This window comes from Homo sapiens, chromosome 18 (genome assembly GCF_000001405.40).
Source record: "Homo sapiens chromosome 18, GRCh38.p14 Primary Assembly".
Lineage (NCBI taxonomy): Eukaryota > Metazoa > Chordata > Mammalia > Primates > Hominidae > Homo > Homo sapiens.
This window is the reverse complement of record NC_000018.10, coordinates 74,777,836-74,793,842: the sequence shown is the minus strand read 5'-3', so window position 1 is coordinate 74,793,842 and position 16,007 is coordinate 74,777,836. Positions and strand designations below refer to the sequence as shown.

Below are 16,007 nucleotides of genomic sequence, written 5' to 3'. Positions count from 1 at the left end.
CATGGCCTTCTCCTCTAAGAAGGTCTTTCCTCCCGGGAAAATGCTTCCCGACAACATGGTCAGTTGATGTTCCCTCTTCTGCCAACTGCAAGTTATAGAAAGAAAAACACTTCCTAAAATAAAATGTCCAAACCCAACTCTTCTCATCATATTAATGAGTTGAATAGCTGCTCAAGTTATTTCACCATTGTTATTTCAGATAAAATCTTACAATAAACACTAATAATTTTCTAACAAATTACATTTTTGCTGAAAGTCACACTTTACATTCATAACATCCAACAAGAGAACCATCTTTCAACATTCAACAAACTTTTCTCCTTTACTGAATGGGGTAGTTTTTGTACTAAAGGACTAAATAAAAATTTCAGAAATCACTTTTTCTTTGTTTACACATCAAGCATATGGTGTGGATCTTATGAATGTGGGAGAAATCATGATCACGCCTCAAGACACAAAACTACCTTATTTATTCATTTAGTAATAAACACTTGTGAATTTAACACCAAACCTGAAAACTAAAAATATTACACTCCAGACATTGATTTATGCCAAACTTGTATTTCTAGCTAACAATGATTATATCCAAAATATTTGTTATTATTTATCTACACCAACTCCAGCAGTTGGATTCTTTTGACAAAACTGTTTTGTTTTTAATCACTTCTTCAGATATTCTAGAAACATACAATGAGTAAAGAAAAATAAACAATACTGAGATCCACATTCTGGGTTCTCTCACTAGTTAAGAGCTCTGTCACAGTGGTCTCTGAACACGCCCAACTCAAAATACTTTACAGAAATTTAAGTTGCATGTCTTAGGAATCGACAATGTTATGGATGTTAAATCTACAAAAGTCAATAGCAAATAAGTAAGAGAGGAGAGCTGCATATATAAAAGATATTTTCTTTAATCTGATGAAGTGCCTCATAGATTCTGTAAGACGTGGAGAAACTGCTCCACAATTGACGTGTCTTTGTGACCCTCTTCCAGCTTCAACCAGAGCAGCCTGGCTTTTATTGATTTCACACAGTTATGTTCCACGTAAGTTTTAAAATTGTTTTTCGTTTCAGCTAAAGGAAAAAGAGTTAATGCTAAGAAAACCAACAATAAAGAAATTAGTTTGAAAATAAAGAAGAAGAATATTTTCATATTCTATCTTTTGAACACATTGAAACTTTGAAATATGTTCATATATTGTCATTATTATAAGTATTAATTTTAAAAATAAGCATTGGGGTCACGCCATTAATTAAAATTTCTCCTAATGTTCGATATTTTATTATCATAATAACAATATAATTTTTTAAAAGGCAAAGGCATAAATTTTAGAAGACTTGTTATCCAGAAATAAGTCTGCCACTATCTAGTTGCCAAAAATATATGGCATAACCATATTGCATAATCATAAATAAGAAAAGAGAAAAGGCATTCTAAACACTATAATGCACAGTGACAATGAAAGGAGAAATTATTGTTTTAATTAACTTCAAAGAAAATTTGGGTCTAATTTAAATAAAAACTTTCATCTACATGTTCTGCTGAATCTGCTGTTTCCCATAATCCTTTGCTCTGTGTGATTAGCATGAAAAAACGAAGCAAAGATTATTTAGACCTTCACAACTAAAAAGCTCTTGAATGTTTTTTTAAAAAATTAGTATCTTTAAAATGATAAAATTCCATACATAAACAGTATGATTGTTTTTGTATTTTAGAACTGTAAATCCACATCAGTTTCACCAAAATCTGCCAACCAAGGAGGGGAAATGTTGTCCACAGCGTCACAGGCGACATTCATTCAAAGTACAATGAACTTGAGGGTGACTCGGTAAGTGGCAGTGCCATATAAAGCTCCATAAAACTATGCGACGTGCAATACTACTGGGACTGTGTGTCATAAATTAGACCAGCTGAGTAAAAGTCCATCATGAAAAAGAAAACTCTCAATGAAGATTTTAGTATCCTAAATCTAGCAGTACTTACTGAGTGTGAATCCCCTTCTTCAAAGCGCAGACAGGAAAGAGAAGCTGAGACCAGCCCTCAAGAAATTAACCATCTAGTCTGGAGACAGGATAAACGCCTTTTTAAAAGGAAGGCAAAATAGAATGCTGCTAAATCAGCATTCTAAGTGGTAAGATGTGACTATTTGGAATGGAATCTAGGGAAGGCATCACAGAATAAGTGAGAAAAAATCTGACCCTTGAAAATAAAGTACACACTGACCCTGGCCTAGAAGACAGGGAGCCATGGCTTTCTGTATGGCAATGAGTGAAAACACTGACAGCATCGATAAATTCATGTCAGCTTCACCAAAAGCTGATACATTTCACCAAGGTGAGATTGCTTCTCATCTCACCTTGACCAGCCTTCTTCCACGATAGGCTTACTGCCCAATGCTATGTCTAAGAAATCATTATTCACAAAACAATAAAAAACTGGATTAAATTAAATCTCAATGGAAAGGGTTATTTCCCTGAAAAGCAGATCTTTATATTGACATCATATACTAGAAGCATTTCTATATAAAATTAGTTTGACTCATATGAAATTAACAATATTTGACTGTTTTTAGCTTAGTAAATGTCAAGTTCATATGATTCAACCTGAGGAGGTAGCAATATCTTAAAAGTATCAAAGAGTGCCTTAATGTTCTTGAAAGGACTAACGGAAATGACAGTCAGACATCTTGTACAACCTGAGGATGACCACAAGATCAAGATGTCTCAAACGGGATTATCAATCATCTGCTTGTTTTCTCCTATGAGTACTAAGTGTAAGAAAACACCACAGTGTTAGCAGAGGTTCTCTTTGTTCTAAGCTCACAATAGATCAATCATGCAAGTGGCCCTAAGACCAAGAATTGGGGGAAACCCTGTTGTAGAAATAACCTATGTAAACACTTCCTGTGTCCTATCATAGCTCCGTAGCATAATGAAATAAAAATATCTTCTTTCTCATAAAAATGATCAAATTGCTTTGATGCAACTTGACAAAAATTACTTCAGATAGATTCTCTTTCCTGAAAATTCCTCACAAAAAATTTTAATTCGGACTTTTATAAGCAACTACCAAGACATCATAAAGAACTGCTCACAAAAAGTCAGTACTGTATAATGAAACTGTATCCAAGTTGGTAATTAGGCATAATTGAAGACTACAGTGAACATATAGGCCTTTGTTCTCTTTAATTCTGGCAATGACTGGGAGTTAAAGATAAGAGCTTAAGGCATATTTTAGTCAGAGTCCAGCTGTATAAGCCCCAGTGTTCTAAAAGTAATTTAAGTGAAATAAAAGAAAGAATGGCCAAAAATATTCTAGATGCCAGCTGAAGAAAAACACCTAAATTCTTAAAAACTTAAAAACAGCAGATATTCTTATACCCCAAATCTGAGTCTACTATCAGACTAAATGGTAGTAGAAAAGGAAAATCCTTTAAAAATTAATTTGTCACAGCAGACAACAATGTATTATACACACAAGGGCAACTGGAAGCTTCATACTACAAAAGTTATAGTTCAATATCTCTACAGAATTCGGTTTTATCTTATTTCTATATAAGAGGCAAGAGAATGAAATAATTGTCATTTTAGTAAAGATTATAAGAGTACTAACCATATATCTCTGGTCTAATAACTCATTGAACTGGTACTGAATAACATAGTTATAATGCATGTAGTATTATTACAGTCTTTTGGTTTCTTTCTGGGGAGATGGAAGGAATAAGATAAAGGTAGTTCTAATCTAACCATATATTAACATGTATATTACCTTTTATTCTCTAATGTTCCATAGGAATGTGATGAAAAAGAAGACCAATTAGAGATACAGTAAACAAGAAAAGGACTCACAGAAGACAGTGGCCAGGGCATCAGACTGGGACTTGAAATAAAGACATGATTTAGACTGGCAACCAGGAGAGGTGGGACATTATATGAGTGTATTGGAGAATAGGTAGAACAAAAGTACAGAGGAAAAAAAAAAAAAAACCAGATACAAAGATAAGGGAAAGATTTTAACAAAATAAAACAGGATTAAAAAGGTTATTTGCAGGCTGGTCTGCAATATGAACTTGAACAGAAAGAAACTAAATTAGTGACTGGGGAAGAGAAGAGACCAGGTAGTAAACCAGGAAAAAGGAGGTGGAGTTCCAGGACGAATGCCACAGAAACACTGCGAATCCACCAGCCCAGGCTCTTTCCCTGGGCTCTGCACTGCACGCTGTCAGAGTTACAGTTCCAAGGAGTTCTCAACTTCGCTGGCTTTCTCTTACAGACAGAGGAAAAGACGACTGGCACAGCAGCCACAGCCTGTTCAGCTGGATTCCAACCCAGTTCCCAGGTTCATCCTGATATGCCCATATTCTCCTCTCCACTACATGCCCTTCCGCCAATGAAATACGCTCACTGGTGACCATTTCCTGAAACAACGCACACAACTCTGGGATCTTAGTTCTCTACCTTAGACCACTCTCCCCAACCGTGTGTGCAAGGCCACTGAGCTCAAGGCACACCGGAACAAAACACACCAAGCTCTCCCACACCTCTCAGGGAACCTGGAATGTGCTCTCTGCTGGAACTGCTCTAACCACCTATCAAACACAACAAGGCCCTTCGAGAGGGACTTTCCTAACCACTCATCCTAAAGTAGTACCTCTCCCAGACACTCCCTGGAATAGCATCCTCAATCTTATACCTACGAAAATTATCATTTATGTATGTCTTGCCTCTCTATCCTCACCTGTGACATCAACCCGAAGATTCAAGTCCATGAGAACAGAGGCTGTGTCATCTTCAAACACTATAGATCACCTAAGTCTTCGAACATAGTAGTCAATGTTTATTGAGAGAATAAATAGGTGAAGAAATAAGATGCCCTATTATCACCCATCCGCACAAAACCCCTTAAGCAGGAATAATAGATCTATTTGTCACATATTATAAATAACTATATAATAATCAGTATTTCCTAAAGAATAAAAAATATATAATATTCAAGTTTATTAATAAAATATTTATTTTATTGATATTTTATATTTATTTTATAAATAAAATAATACTCAGGATACACAGAAACTTCCTAGATTAAAATTGAGGAATGAATCTTAGAAGCAATAAGAAACAAAATCTATTTTCTGTGACATATACTACTAACACTTAAAAACTCACTACCTCTAGCATGATAATTTCTACTAAAGTAGTAAACTGTGGTGGTGTTTTTTTTTTTTTTTCAAGATAACCAAGATGTACTAAAAGAAACAGTATTTTTTATACAGCTAGAGAGCAAGGACTCCTGGTATAAAAGGAAAGGAATCCTTCCCTTTCCTTTCCTTGGGAGTACTTGTTAACTGGGTCTGTTCAGCAAACTTTAGAAGCAAGCGTGTTTTTAAATAAATAAGTCTGAGAAGTAAAAAGCACCACTGGACCACTACACAGAAGTGCACAGCAGTTTCCTACAACAGAGCAAGCACAATTAAAATATGCCTAATCACAGGGATGCACAATGCTCAATACAACGCCCCCAAAACCAAATGGCTAAAGATATATGCACTTCCAGAAAAATATTGGTTTTACTCAAAAACAATTTCTATTGCAAAACTGCCCTTGAATTACATGAGCTTTGATTTATGGGAGGTTTTTAAAATATATTGCGGACATAAAATGGGACTTCCCCATAAGGAAAAAATAAATAAAACTGGAAATAACAGTAGTAAATAAAATGCATGCCTTTAAGGCTATCCTGCTGACTAGAGATGGATCACAATTTTGGCCATGAGCTTCCCAACAGTAAACATAAAGAGGAAAACTCAATCATATACATGATTTGCTAGTATCAAAGGCTAACGAAGTGTTAGAGACAAGTACAACTTTCTCTGGAATAAAGACCAGAGAGAAATAATTCTTCTGAGTCTTAAAAGAAAGATGTATTTCCATGAACAGCATCCTAAATACTACCTTCACAATAAACATGTAACTTTTATGAGGTTACTTCTTAAAACAGTCTTAAATTTAAGTCATTGTCATAGCTGTGTGCTAAATGAGCGGAGTCAATTTACGAAAGGAAGAAAACGAAACAAGTCAATGAAGAAAAGCAGTTCTCTAGCAATGGAAATAACTGAAAGCTAAAACTGAAAGGACATTAAGAAATGAATAGAAGAAAGAAGGAATCGTGACATCAAAGTAAATTATCTGACAAATACATGGAATCCAGATATTTGATGTCGCATTTGATGATGTAACTGATGCAGGAGTACCGGTGACATTGCTTCCTAAGAGCTGAGGAACCCAACCAAGAGAGAAGCTTGAAGAGAAGGCTCTCCACCCCGCAGAGGAGCCATAAGTATCTGCCTGCAATCCTGAGATTCTGCAGCACAGATGCTGACTTTTGTTAACTTTCATCTGCAAAACTTATGAAGCAGAAGTTAGAAAATATTATTGTTAGTAATAACACATTGCTGACGAAGCAACCACAGATCATCTACATTACCCAAAGAATTACCCATAGAATTTAGAAATACTTCCAAATCCCAGCAAGATAACTTTGGTGGAACATGAGGGTGTATCTCCTATCTCCACATGTGCCTTAGTAAATTGTTGGTTTATTAGCAAATACAGTATAAGAGAAATTTTCTAAAATAAACACTTCGGCTTTAGATGAATTGATATGACTTCTAGCTGTCTTTCCATGCAGAACAAATTGATCTAGCAGGACTATCGCACTATTAAATCTTACTTTTACAGCTGGGCATGGTGGCTCACACCTGTAATCCCTGCACTTTGGGTGGCCGAGGCAGGTGGATCACCTGAGGTGAGGAGTTTGAGACCAGCCTGGCCAACATGATGAAACCCCGTCTCTACTAAAAACAAAAAAAGTGAGCCGGGTGTGGTGGCGGGTGCATGTAATCCCAATTATTCAGTAACCTGAGGCAGGAGAATTGCTTGAACCCGGGAGGCGGAGGTCACAGTGAGCCGAGATCACACCACTGCACTCCAGCCTGGGCAACAAGAGAGAAACTCCATCTCCAAAAAAAAAAAAAAAAAAAAAAAAAAAACATACTTTTTTACATTAAAACCAATTAAAACCAGGTCATATGATCATAGATACTATTTATATTTAACTGTTTACAGGTTAAAAGATGGAAAAAATGAAAAAACAGAAAGAGTTCGCAGCTCATGCAAAAGCAGTACGTCATCGAAATATAACCCCCTTCCCCACGCAACAAAATAAGCAACCCAGAATGGAAAGAACTGACATGTTTTCCTCCACTTTAGCCCAAAAGAATTATTTCTTGTGTAAATATGTTCTAAGGTGGAGAGAAGCCCATAAACACTTTATTTTTCCTAAATTGGCCATCATGGGGAAAAAAAAAAGAAAAAGAAAAAATATTGCTAACTATGGAAAAAAAATAAGAAATAAGGGAAAGACTAATAAGTAGTGGGTAAAGGGGAGAGCCTGAAGCCTGGACACAGAGGTGACTGAAAAGTTTCATAAAAAATATTCCAGAAGGAGCCCATGAAGAATATATCAGAGAGAAGAAACTATCACAACACATCCATTAGAATAAATCACCCATTTCAATGATAAAATGGATAACAGTATTTACCTTATAGAAACTCACTATGGAGGAATAGAGGAAAACTGTTTTCCCTTTAATAAAATGAAATATATGCAACAAGAACAACTTAGAAGTTATTTCTTTAAGGTGGAAAACAGTGACAACTGTGACGTCGGAGGTCAGTCATATATGATGAATAGAATATCTTCTAATAAGAAAAAATTTAATCTGTTCCCCAATAATTTCCTCAGGGTTTCTATAAACGCATGGCTTTTCTCATATAACATCATCTAAGCTTGTAAACAACCCTGTGAAGCATCAGTCACAACTGCACACATCATGTGTGCCATGTGAGTGACATCGTGTGTGCCATGTGACATGTGTGTCCCATGTGAGTGCCATGTGCGTGCCATGTGAGTGACGTGTGTGCCATGTGGGCCATGTGCATGCCATGTGAGTGACATGTGCATGCCATGTACATGCTGTGTGTGCCATGTGGGTGACATGTGTGTGCCATGTGAGTGACATCTGCATGCCAGGTGCATGCCAGGTGCATGCGCTTTTCCACAGATGCTGCTGTTTCAGATATTTTCATGTTTCATAAAAAAAAGGTGACGCTCCTGTGTAAACTTGAAAAATAGCAATGATGCTTTTATGCCACTTCAACTTATAAATATGCAAGTTTTTGAGAAAATAGAGAAAAAGGAGAGAAAAGAGTCTCCAAAAGACCCATACAATGCCATGTCCTATTATACTGGCTTCAAATAAATTAGAATAAGCATCAGGGCTCTGAGACATCTCTCCGCAATTACATTAGGTGGGGTAAAGATTTGACTCATCAATAAGATCAATGGTGCTGCTAAAAGAAAGACAGCTAACCCCATATCCCAAATGTCTCATAAAAGGGGAGAGGCCAGCACAAATTTCAGGGCTCAGTAATCTGGAGGACCCCAGAGGAAATCTTAGCCTGAGCAAAAATACTAAGAAGCCCTGAGCCAAATCCAGTAGCCTGAACACACCCAACAGCTATGCTAACAAAAATGCACTGAGGGTAAGAAACTTCACAGACTCCGACAAAAATGGCTGCACTGGAAGAAATACGTAAGGTTTTGATCTGAATATTCACCAGTAAAAACACAAGTACTTTTCCTGGGTTATGAAATTATTTAACGCTTATACTTTATGACACACGCATCTAATTTAAAATTCTTCTTTGGTAGTTTTCTGAGTTTATCAGCCTTCTTGAGATGCTGCCAGTGCAGATATGTCCTGACAGCATCTCTGACACCACAAAAGCAATGGATCAAATGCAAAGCTCTACACGAATCATTTCCCTGTCCTCCTATTTACACAGTCATTCAAAACCCAGCTGATTTCCAGCACTGAACGACGAATACCATCCACTTCCATTGTAATTGCACCTGGCTTTCACAGAAGATATACTTAGTATGGCTGTTCCAATTGTGATAATTGTAGATAAGCTCGTTTTCTAGATTACTATTAGTCAATTCAAAGAGTCATAAAGATGCTTTGGCTTACTTATACCACAAAGAGAATTACTCATTTAAAATAGCGAATACTTTCAAATGAACTTGCAAGTTAACTGGAGTTTATTATTTTAGAATGTGAACTGAATGTGGTTATATGTAATTGTTTGAATTTAAGTGTGTAGGATTTCAGAAATACTGTAGGATACTGCACTAAAATAATTTAATGCAGATGTAGGAACAAAAAAGTATAATCTTACACAAGCCATCACCTCAGGTGTTCACAGAGTCTCAAAGAAAATATTTGAAATAATTTAGTTTTCTGTTTCTAATGATAGCCATGCTGACAAAATTTATTGGATCATCAAACATTATAGTACAAGTATATGGATTTATTTTTAATAAATTATAATTTTTGCATATATCAGTCAAAGCACAAGGCCTAAATACTTGCAAACAAAATGCATTATTAATTTAATTGTCACAGCCTATTTAGCTAACTTCTATTACTATTTGCTATAATATGCAATGCATTAGAATGGAGAATCAAATTAAAAACATTTTTTAAAACTGATTATACTGTCCTGGAGAAATTAAAATACAGCAAGCTTGCAAAAGTATAACCAAGGCTTTAATGTTTTAAATAGGTAAGAAAAATATTTAACTTAATTTAGAGAACAGTTGTGCCCAGACTGATGGTCCAGCATACTGACGAAGGGTTTGCTTCCTAAAACCACTAGAAGGAAGGGAGGAAGGTGAAATGGAAACAAGGAGACTGGCATTTCTGCTTCTAGATTATACCATTGAAATCTTGGTTTGCTCTAGCTACAGGTGTCTACTGGAAAATTATACTGCTGCTGGGGTCCTGGCATTCCTGTGTAGTATTTCTCTGTAACAGGAGAGAGTGCCATATAAGCAGACGTCAAAAACAAGAAGTCCTCTCAAAGAATTTTTAAAAGGAAAAACAATTCAGTCAAAGACGTTTGGTTTAGAAGAATGTTGCTGCTTGAAGTACTTAAAAGGTACTGATCCAGAAGGTGGGTGTGCTTTCCCACTTGCGATTTTCTTGATGTTAGGACAAAAACAGTGTCAATATCTGAGAAGGGCTTACCATGTGTCAGAGGGGAGAAATTCAATCTTTCTCCTGCCTCAGTTTTAATCTCCCTTTATGTATTCAGGACAGAAATAAATATTAAAGAAAAGAAAAAGTATCCTAGAATGTAACGAAAAGGGTAAATGAAAAAAAAAAACAGTAAATTTTTGATTCTCAAATTCGTAATATATAGAGGATTTCTAGCATTTTAAGGTGTTTAATACATGAACATATATACATACATGCACATATATGGGGAGATCAACTTTTCCCTGTGAAACAATATGAACAATTCTTCAACTTTTAAAAAAATTTCTAAGTAAAAACCAAAATGATGTAGTTAAATTAAAAATATATACTATTTAAAAGTACAGTTGGGAAATATTTTCTTCTTACTACACAATCTCCACTGTTTTCATTCAAATTTATTTTGAAATCAGAGTCAGAAAAGTAACAGTTCCATCATTTATTATTTATGAGATATTGAATAAATTATTATTGTATTTTCTAGGCTCAGTCCTTAGATCTATAAAACTGGAATAATAATGTACTGCTAATAAGGTCAAAGAAGGACTGAGATAATGCATGTGAAAGCAATGAAAACATAGCAATTACAAATATGTTCTGTTTCTACATACTTAAACAACACTTATGAAACATAACTTTGACATGTCGCAAATTATTCTTTTAAAAATATAGTATAGTATGCTTTTAAATTTCAAGAATAATGCATCCCTGACACATTCAATGCATGTATTTTTGCTGCAATTATTAAATACAATGTTACAAAGAAAGATAAGGGAAATAGGCCGGGCACGGTCGCTCAAGCCTGTAATCCCAGCACTTTGGGATCACGAGATTAGGAGATTGAGACCATCCTGGCCAACACAGTGAAACCCCGTCTCTACTAAAAATACAAAAAAATTAGCCGGAGGTGGTGGCGGGTGCCTATAGTCCCAGATACTTGGGAGGCTGAGGCAGGAGAATGGTGTGAATCCGAGAGGTGGAGCTTGCAGTGAGCTAACATATGCCACTGCACTCCAGCCTGGGCGACAGAGGAAGACTCCATCTCAAATGAAGGGGAGAACGGGGAGAAAGGGGAGAACGGGGAGAACAGGAAGAAAGAAGAGAGAAGAGAAGAGAAGAGAAGAGGAGGGGAGGGGAGCGGAGGGGATGAAATCAAACATATGGGTGCAAAGGAGACATCCCAAGATCCCAAAATTTTGACTCAGTAGCAGTCTATGCCCATACTACAATACTAAAGAAAACAATATGCCTGACAGAAAAGTCAACTTAAATTCCCATTAACAGAGAAAATACTGCTAAGAGCATTTTAATTTTTAAAAAGACTATTAAACATTTACAAATATGACTGAAGACCTCAGGCTTCAGAGTAACAGAAAAAATTGCATCACTAGTGACTTTTGAAAACAGTATTAAAAAAACTAAAGTTTCTGAGAGTATCTGTAGAATTTTGGATCCTACCTTGGAGAATCTGAGGGAAGCTGAAAATCTATCCTGACTTTAAGGAAAGTACTAATGCTTATACCAGTTTTGAGTGAGCTGCACATTTTAAAGATTTAAAATATCAGAAGTAGCCATGTTCACCTGGTAGCTGACACTGCTATATTTCAGTTCACCTAATATAATTAAGTCTATGCGATGAAGCTAATTATGATACAGAAGCAAGAAAAAAGAAAACCTGGCAGTTGATGACATAATAATTGTAGTGTTATTTTTCATGACATGGCAACTGTAGTATTATTTGGGGGATGACACAAGATGTATTTCTTCTTAATATCAGCAATCTTTAAGTCTAGAGTAAGAATTCAAAACTGTTATTTTAAAACCTCAAAATAAGAATATATAATAAAACAAAGTTGAGTTTTACATATTTGTTTTATCACACTCGAATGCATTTTCAGAAGGTAATTCCCTCCAATTTAATTCTTCTAGTATTTCAAGGTTGTTTCACAAATTCAAAGTCCTCCAAATGCTTTCAACTACTTCTAGACTCAAGTTTTAATTAAAATATGTTAAATTTTTGTGAAACGATGGCATAAAATATGATATTTGACAAAAGAGTACCACAAATAGAAACATGATTAACTGATGTGAAAAAAAAGTCTAGAAGTCATGTCATTAAATAAAGCCTAAAATAAAAATCAAATTGTATTTTTAAATGAAAAAAAAAGAATGAAAATTACCTTTCTTTTGGGGTGCCAACTCCATGCTTGCCTAGTAGATGAGTATTTAAGTGCTTCTTCATTACAAAAGCAACCCTAAAAAATAAACAAAAGTAATTATAAAACTAAAACTTGACTCTCCACTAGAAATCTGTACAAAGAGAACTTAAGAATAATATATATATGCAAACATAACATAAAAAGCGTATTACAGTGGCACTCTTGCTACACCAAAGCTTGCATACAGATTAAATATACTGTAGGACTTCAAAAGAAGTCTACATCTAAATTGACTGGTTCAGTTTTGACTTGGATACACTAACAGTGAGCAAAAGAGCACAATGATTGTAGTTCTTCAATCCCTGTCTTCACTTCCAGTTGGTAAGAAAGATGAAGCAATACCTCAGTATAACATGCACAGCCCCTAGGTCATCGCACACTTCAATCATGAAATGAGTTTGAGAAAATGTCATTTTATTAAATATTTAAAGGACCGTAAAAGAGAAAAAGAATAGCTTTCATGGAGCTTCCTTAAAAACATGGTAATAACTTGAAGAGAGGTTTTTAAAAATAATACAAATGTTTACTGTATCTATAGCACAAAAAATTATATTGAAGTACCTAGATATCAATAACAAAAACAAACAAAAAGTATTACCTGACATACTATCTTATTTTATACACAAATCAGCTTACTTAATTCAATTTTGTTGACATAAATATGAAATGGACAGGAATCAGCAGTACATGAATGCCATTCTACCCCTGAACACAGTGCAGTATCAATTTATTTACGTCATGCGATTATTTAAAACTTAGATCAGAAACATTCAGAAGCATCAAAACTAAAATGGCTCTCTGGATAAGCAGAAAAAAAATTTACTGCTGTAACTTTCAGTGTAAAAGGGCTTGCAAACATTTTTGTTAATTATGTATTACAGCTGTCCTTCATAAAGTTAATTACTAATAGCTGAAAGGCAACAGCATCTATTTGCATATGTACATGAAAGACATGACATATGCAAAAATATGATTTTAATTAGCATTCTATGATATGAAAGGCTACAAATCAAATTGGCATGTTATAAGATTCTCAACATTAAACACTGAATTCATCTGGACATGTTTGCACAAATGAGCCACATAAGACTGTAAAGTACTGTATCCTTGCAGAAAAGACTTGTGACAAAAGCCAAAAGCAAAACAACTTCTAAAAACATGCTTCTTTTCTTTTCATGTCTAAATGTCTAATTTATTTTGTTTAATTTCATATAATATTACAGAATCTCAGGTTTAAGAACAAATGACCATGACTTCTTTATTCAAATAATGCACTTACATACACTGAAAATAACAATCATTCTACTTAAATATTAGGTAATAACAACTATGGACAATACACACTTTACAACTATAAACAACTGGTACCAACATCAATCACTAAAATGAAATTATCACATAAAAAAACTGTGATAATATTAAATGCTGAGCAAAAAAAAGTACAAAAATTCTGTATTTGTTTCTGCTTGGTTTTGACAAAATAACATTTTTCATTTCCTTAAAAAAGAACACAGTGATAATAAATGAATTTAAGTCATAACTTCCCTACTGTCCTCCATTGTCTATAATTAAAAAAACATAAAGCTAATAGCAAAGAGCAAAGGTTAAAAACCCAAAGCTGCAAAGCACAGCTTATTTACACGACCAAGTACAAATTAAGAGATGGGAACTTAGAATCCACAGTGCAGTTTTTAATAGAAAACAAAATTATTAATTAAAATACTTAGGTTTTAAGAATTGAAGCAAAAATATTACATGGCACAGGGAAACAAACTAGAGGAAATAGGGAGAAAAAGCTTTTGCCTAATACAATGTCCTAACGTGCTGAGTGTCTCTAGTGCTGAATATTTAGTGAAATAATAATTTTTATTATCATGGAGAAAAATGGAAAAAGTTTTAATACTATAACACAGCTCAATTGTGTTCAAATGCAAAATATTTATTCAACCAACACTGGACTTAAAAGAAGTACTAATTCTTTAAATTTGGCTTAAAGTACAAATAAGGTAAAAGCCTCAAAATCATCCTCGGTTAAAAAAATATATAAGCTGACCGGGCGCGGTGGCTCACGCCTGTAATCCCAGCACTCTGGGAGGCTGAGGCAGGTGGATCACAAGGTCGGGAGATTGAGACCATCCTGGCTAACACAGTGAAACCCCGTCTCTACTAAAAATACAAAAATTAGCCGGGTGTGGTGGCGGGCACCTGTAGTCCCAGCTGCTGGGGAGGTTGAGGCAGGAGAATGGCGTGAACCCGGGAGGCGGAGCTTGCAGTGAGCCGAGATTGCGCCACTGCACTCCAGCCTGGACGACAGAGCAAGCCTCCGTCTCAAAAAAAAAAAAAAAAAAAAAAAATATATATATATATATATATATGCCAAGCATGACTAGCATTAAATTACTGACCCATATGGACATAATATTGACAGCCATATGTGGTTACTGAAGGTAGGCTACTCCACACTAACACTGTAACATTACTGTTTTAACATTTTTAACATAACTTTTAAAAATATATATACATAATCTACATATCACCAGAAATAAAACAAAAATGATGGCAAATCTGAAAGCTAGCCAATTGGCATGCCTTGCTCCCAATAAATCCTCATTCTTTCATACCTTCAGTCCCTGTCTCATCACGTTTACTGATCACTTACTATGTGCTAGCTGTGAGGGGGTCCTGCACCTATGACGAAAACACAGACCGTTCAAGTCATGCCTTCCCGGAGCATTCTCGACAACCTGCTGCTTATCAACAGGATGCAGTGACACTAAGCTTGACTAGCCACTCCTCTGTGGACAGTGCTAGTCATTCACACATGCATTTAATTTACATATTTATTAAGGATCTACTATTATGCAAGGAACAGTTCTAGGCAGCTGTGATGCACAGGTGACTAAAACAAATAAAAGTCCCTGCCCTCAAAAAATGTACAACCTAGTGAGAGACACAGACAACAAGGAAAAAAAAACAGTAAAATATGTATCATATTAAGCAATGTCAAGTGGTAGGAGAATAAATTACAGAACAAGGATCTTACAGTGTCAGCAAGGGGTTGAAATTCCACATTTGGGTGGCTCAGGAATGAGACCTATGAGTAAAGAGGATGAAGGCACGGTGCCTGCCAAGGAATAAGGACCAGCAACCCCTGCTCAGGAGGAGAGAGCACAACCACAGACCTCTGAAGGCAGAGTCTCAATTCATTCTCACAGATGTGATGTGGGAGCATAAACCTGGGGGCTGGTAAGTGAGGAGGAGGACAGTCCCATCCAGGGAGGATAGAAAAAAGAGGGCGGGTGAGAATAGCAACACTGAAGGCCATGACAGCCTCAGCTTTTATTCTGAGTGGGAAGAAAAGCCATCTCAGGCATCTGAACAGAGGAGTGACTTGTCCAACTTACTTTTGCTTTTGTTTTTATTTTTTTTAAATAGCTCACTGTAATTTCAAAATCCGAGGTTCAAGGGATCCTCACACCTTAGCTTTCCCAGTAGCTGGGACTGAAGCCATGCGCCACTGGGCCTGGCTATTTAAATTTTTTTTGTAGAGACAGGGGTCTCACTATGTTGCCCAAGTTGGTCTCAAACTCCAGGGCTCAAGGAATCCTCCTGCCTAGAAGTCCCAAAG

At 35.7% G+C, this 16,007-nt stretch overlaps 1 protein-coding gene across 8 annotated transcripts in view; it reads right to left on the bottom strand.

Annotated features, from left to right (window-relative positions):
- The window catches only part of ZNF407 (zinc finger protein 407), a 467,802-nt gene that overhangs the window by 271,829 nt on the left and 179,966 nt on the right, over positions 1 to 16,007 (bottom strand). For 7 of the 8 annotated variants that reach the window (NM_017757.3, XM_017025838.3, XM_011526069.4 and 4 more), the window contains one exon: positions 12,341 to 12,415. In NM_017757.3, coding sequence (NP_060227.2) covers positions 12,341 to 12,415 — 75 coding nt within the window. Of the gene's footprint in view, positions 1 to 9,358; positions 11,950 to 12,340; positions 12,416 to 16,007 lie in introns of those variants that run through there. The other variant, XM_006722500.5, reaches the window with a different exon arrangement.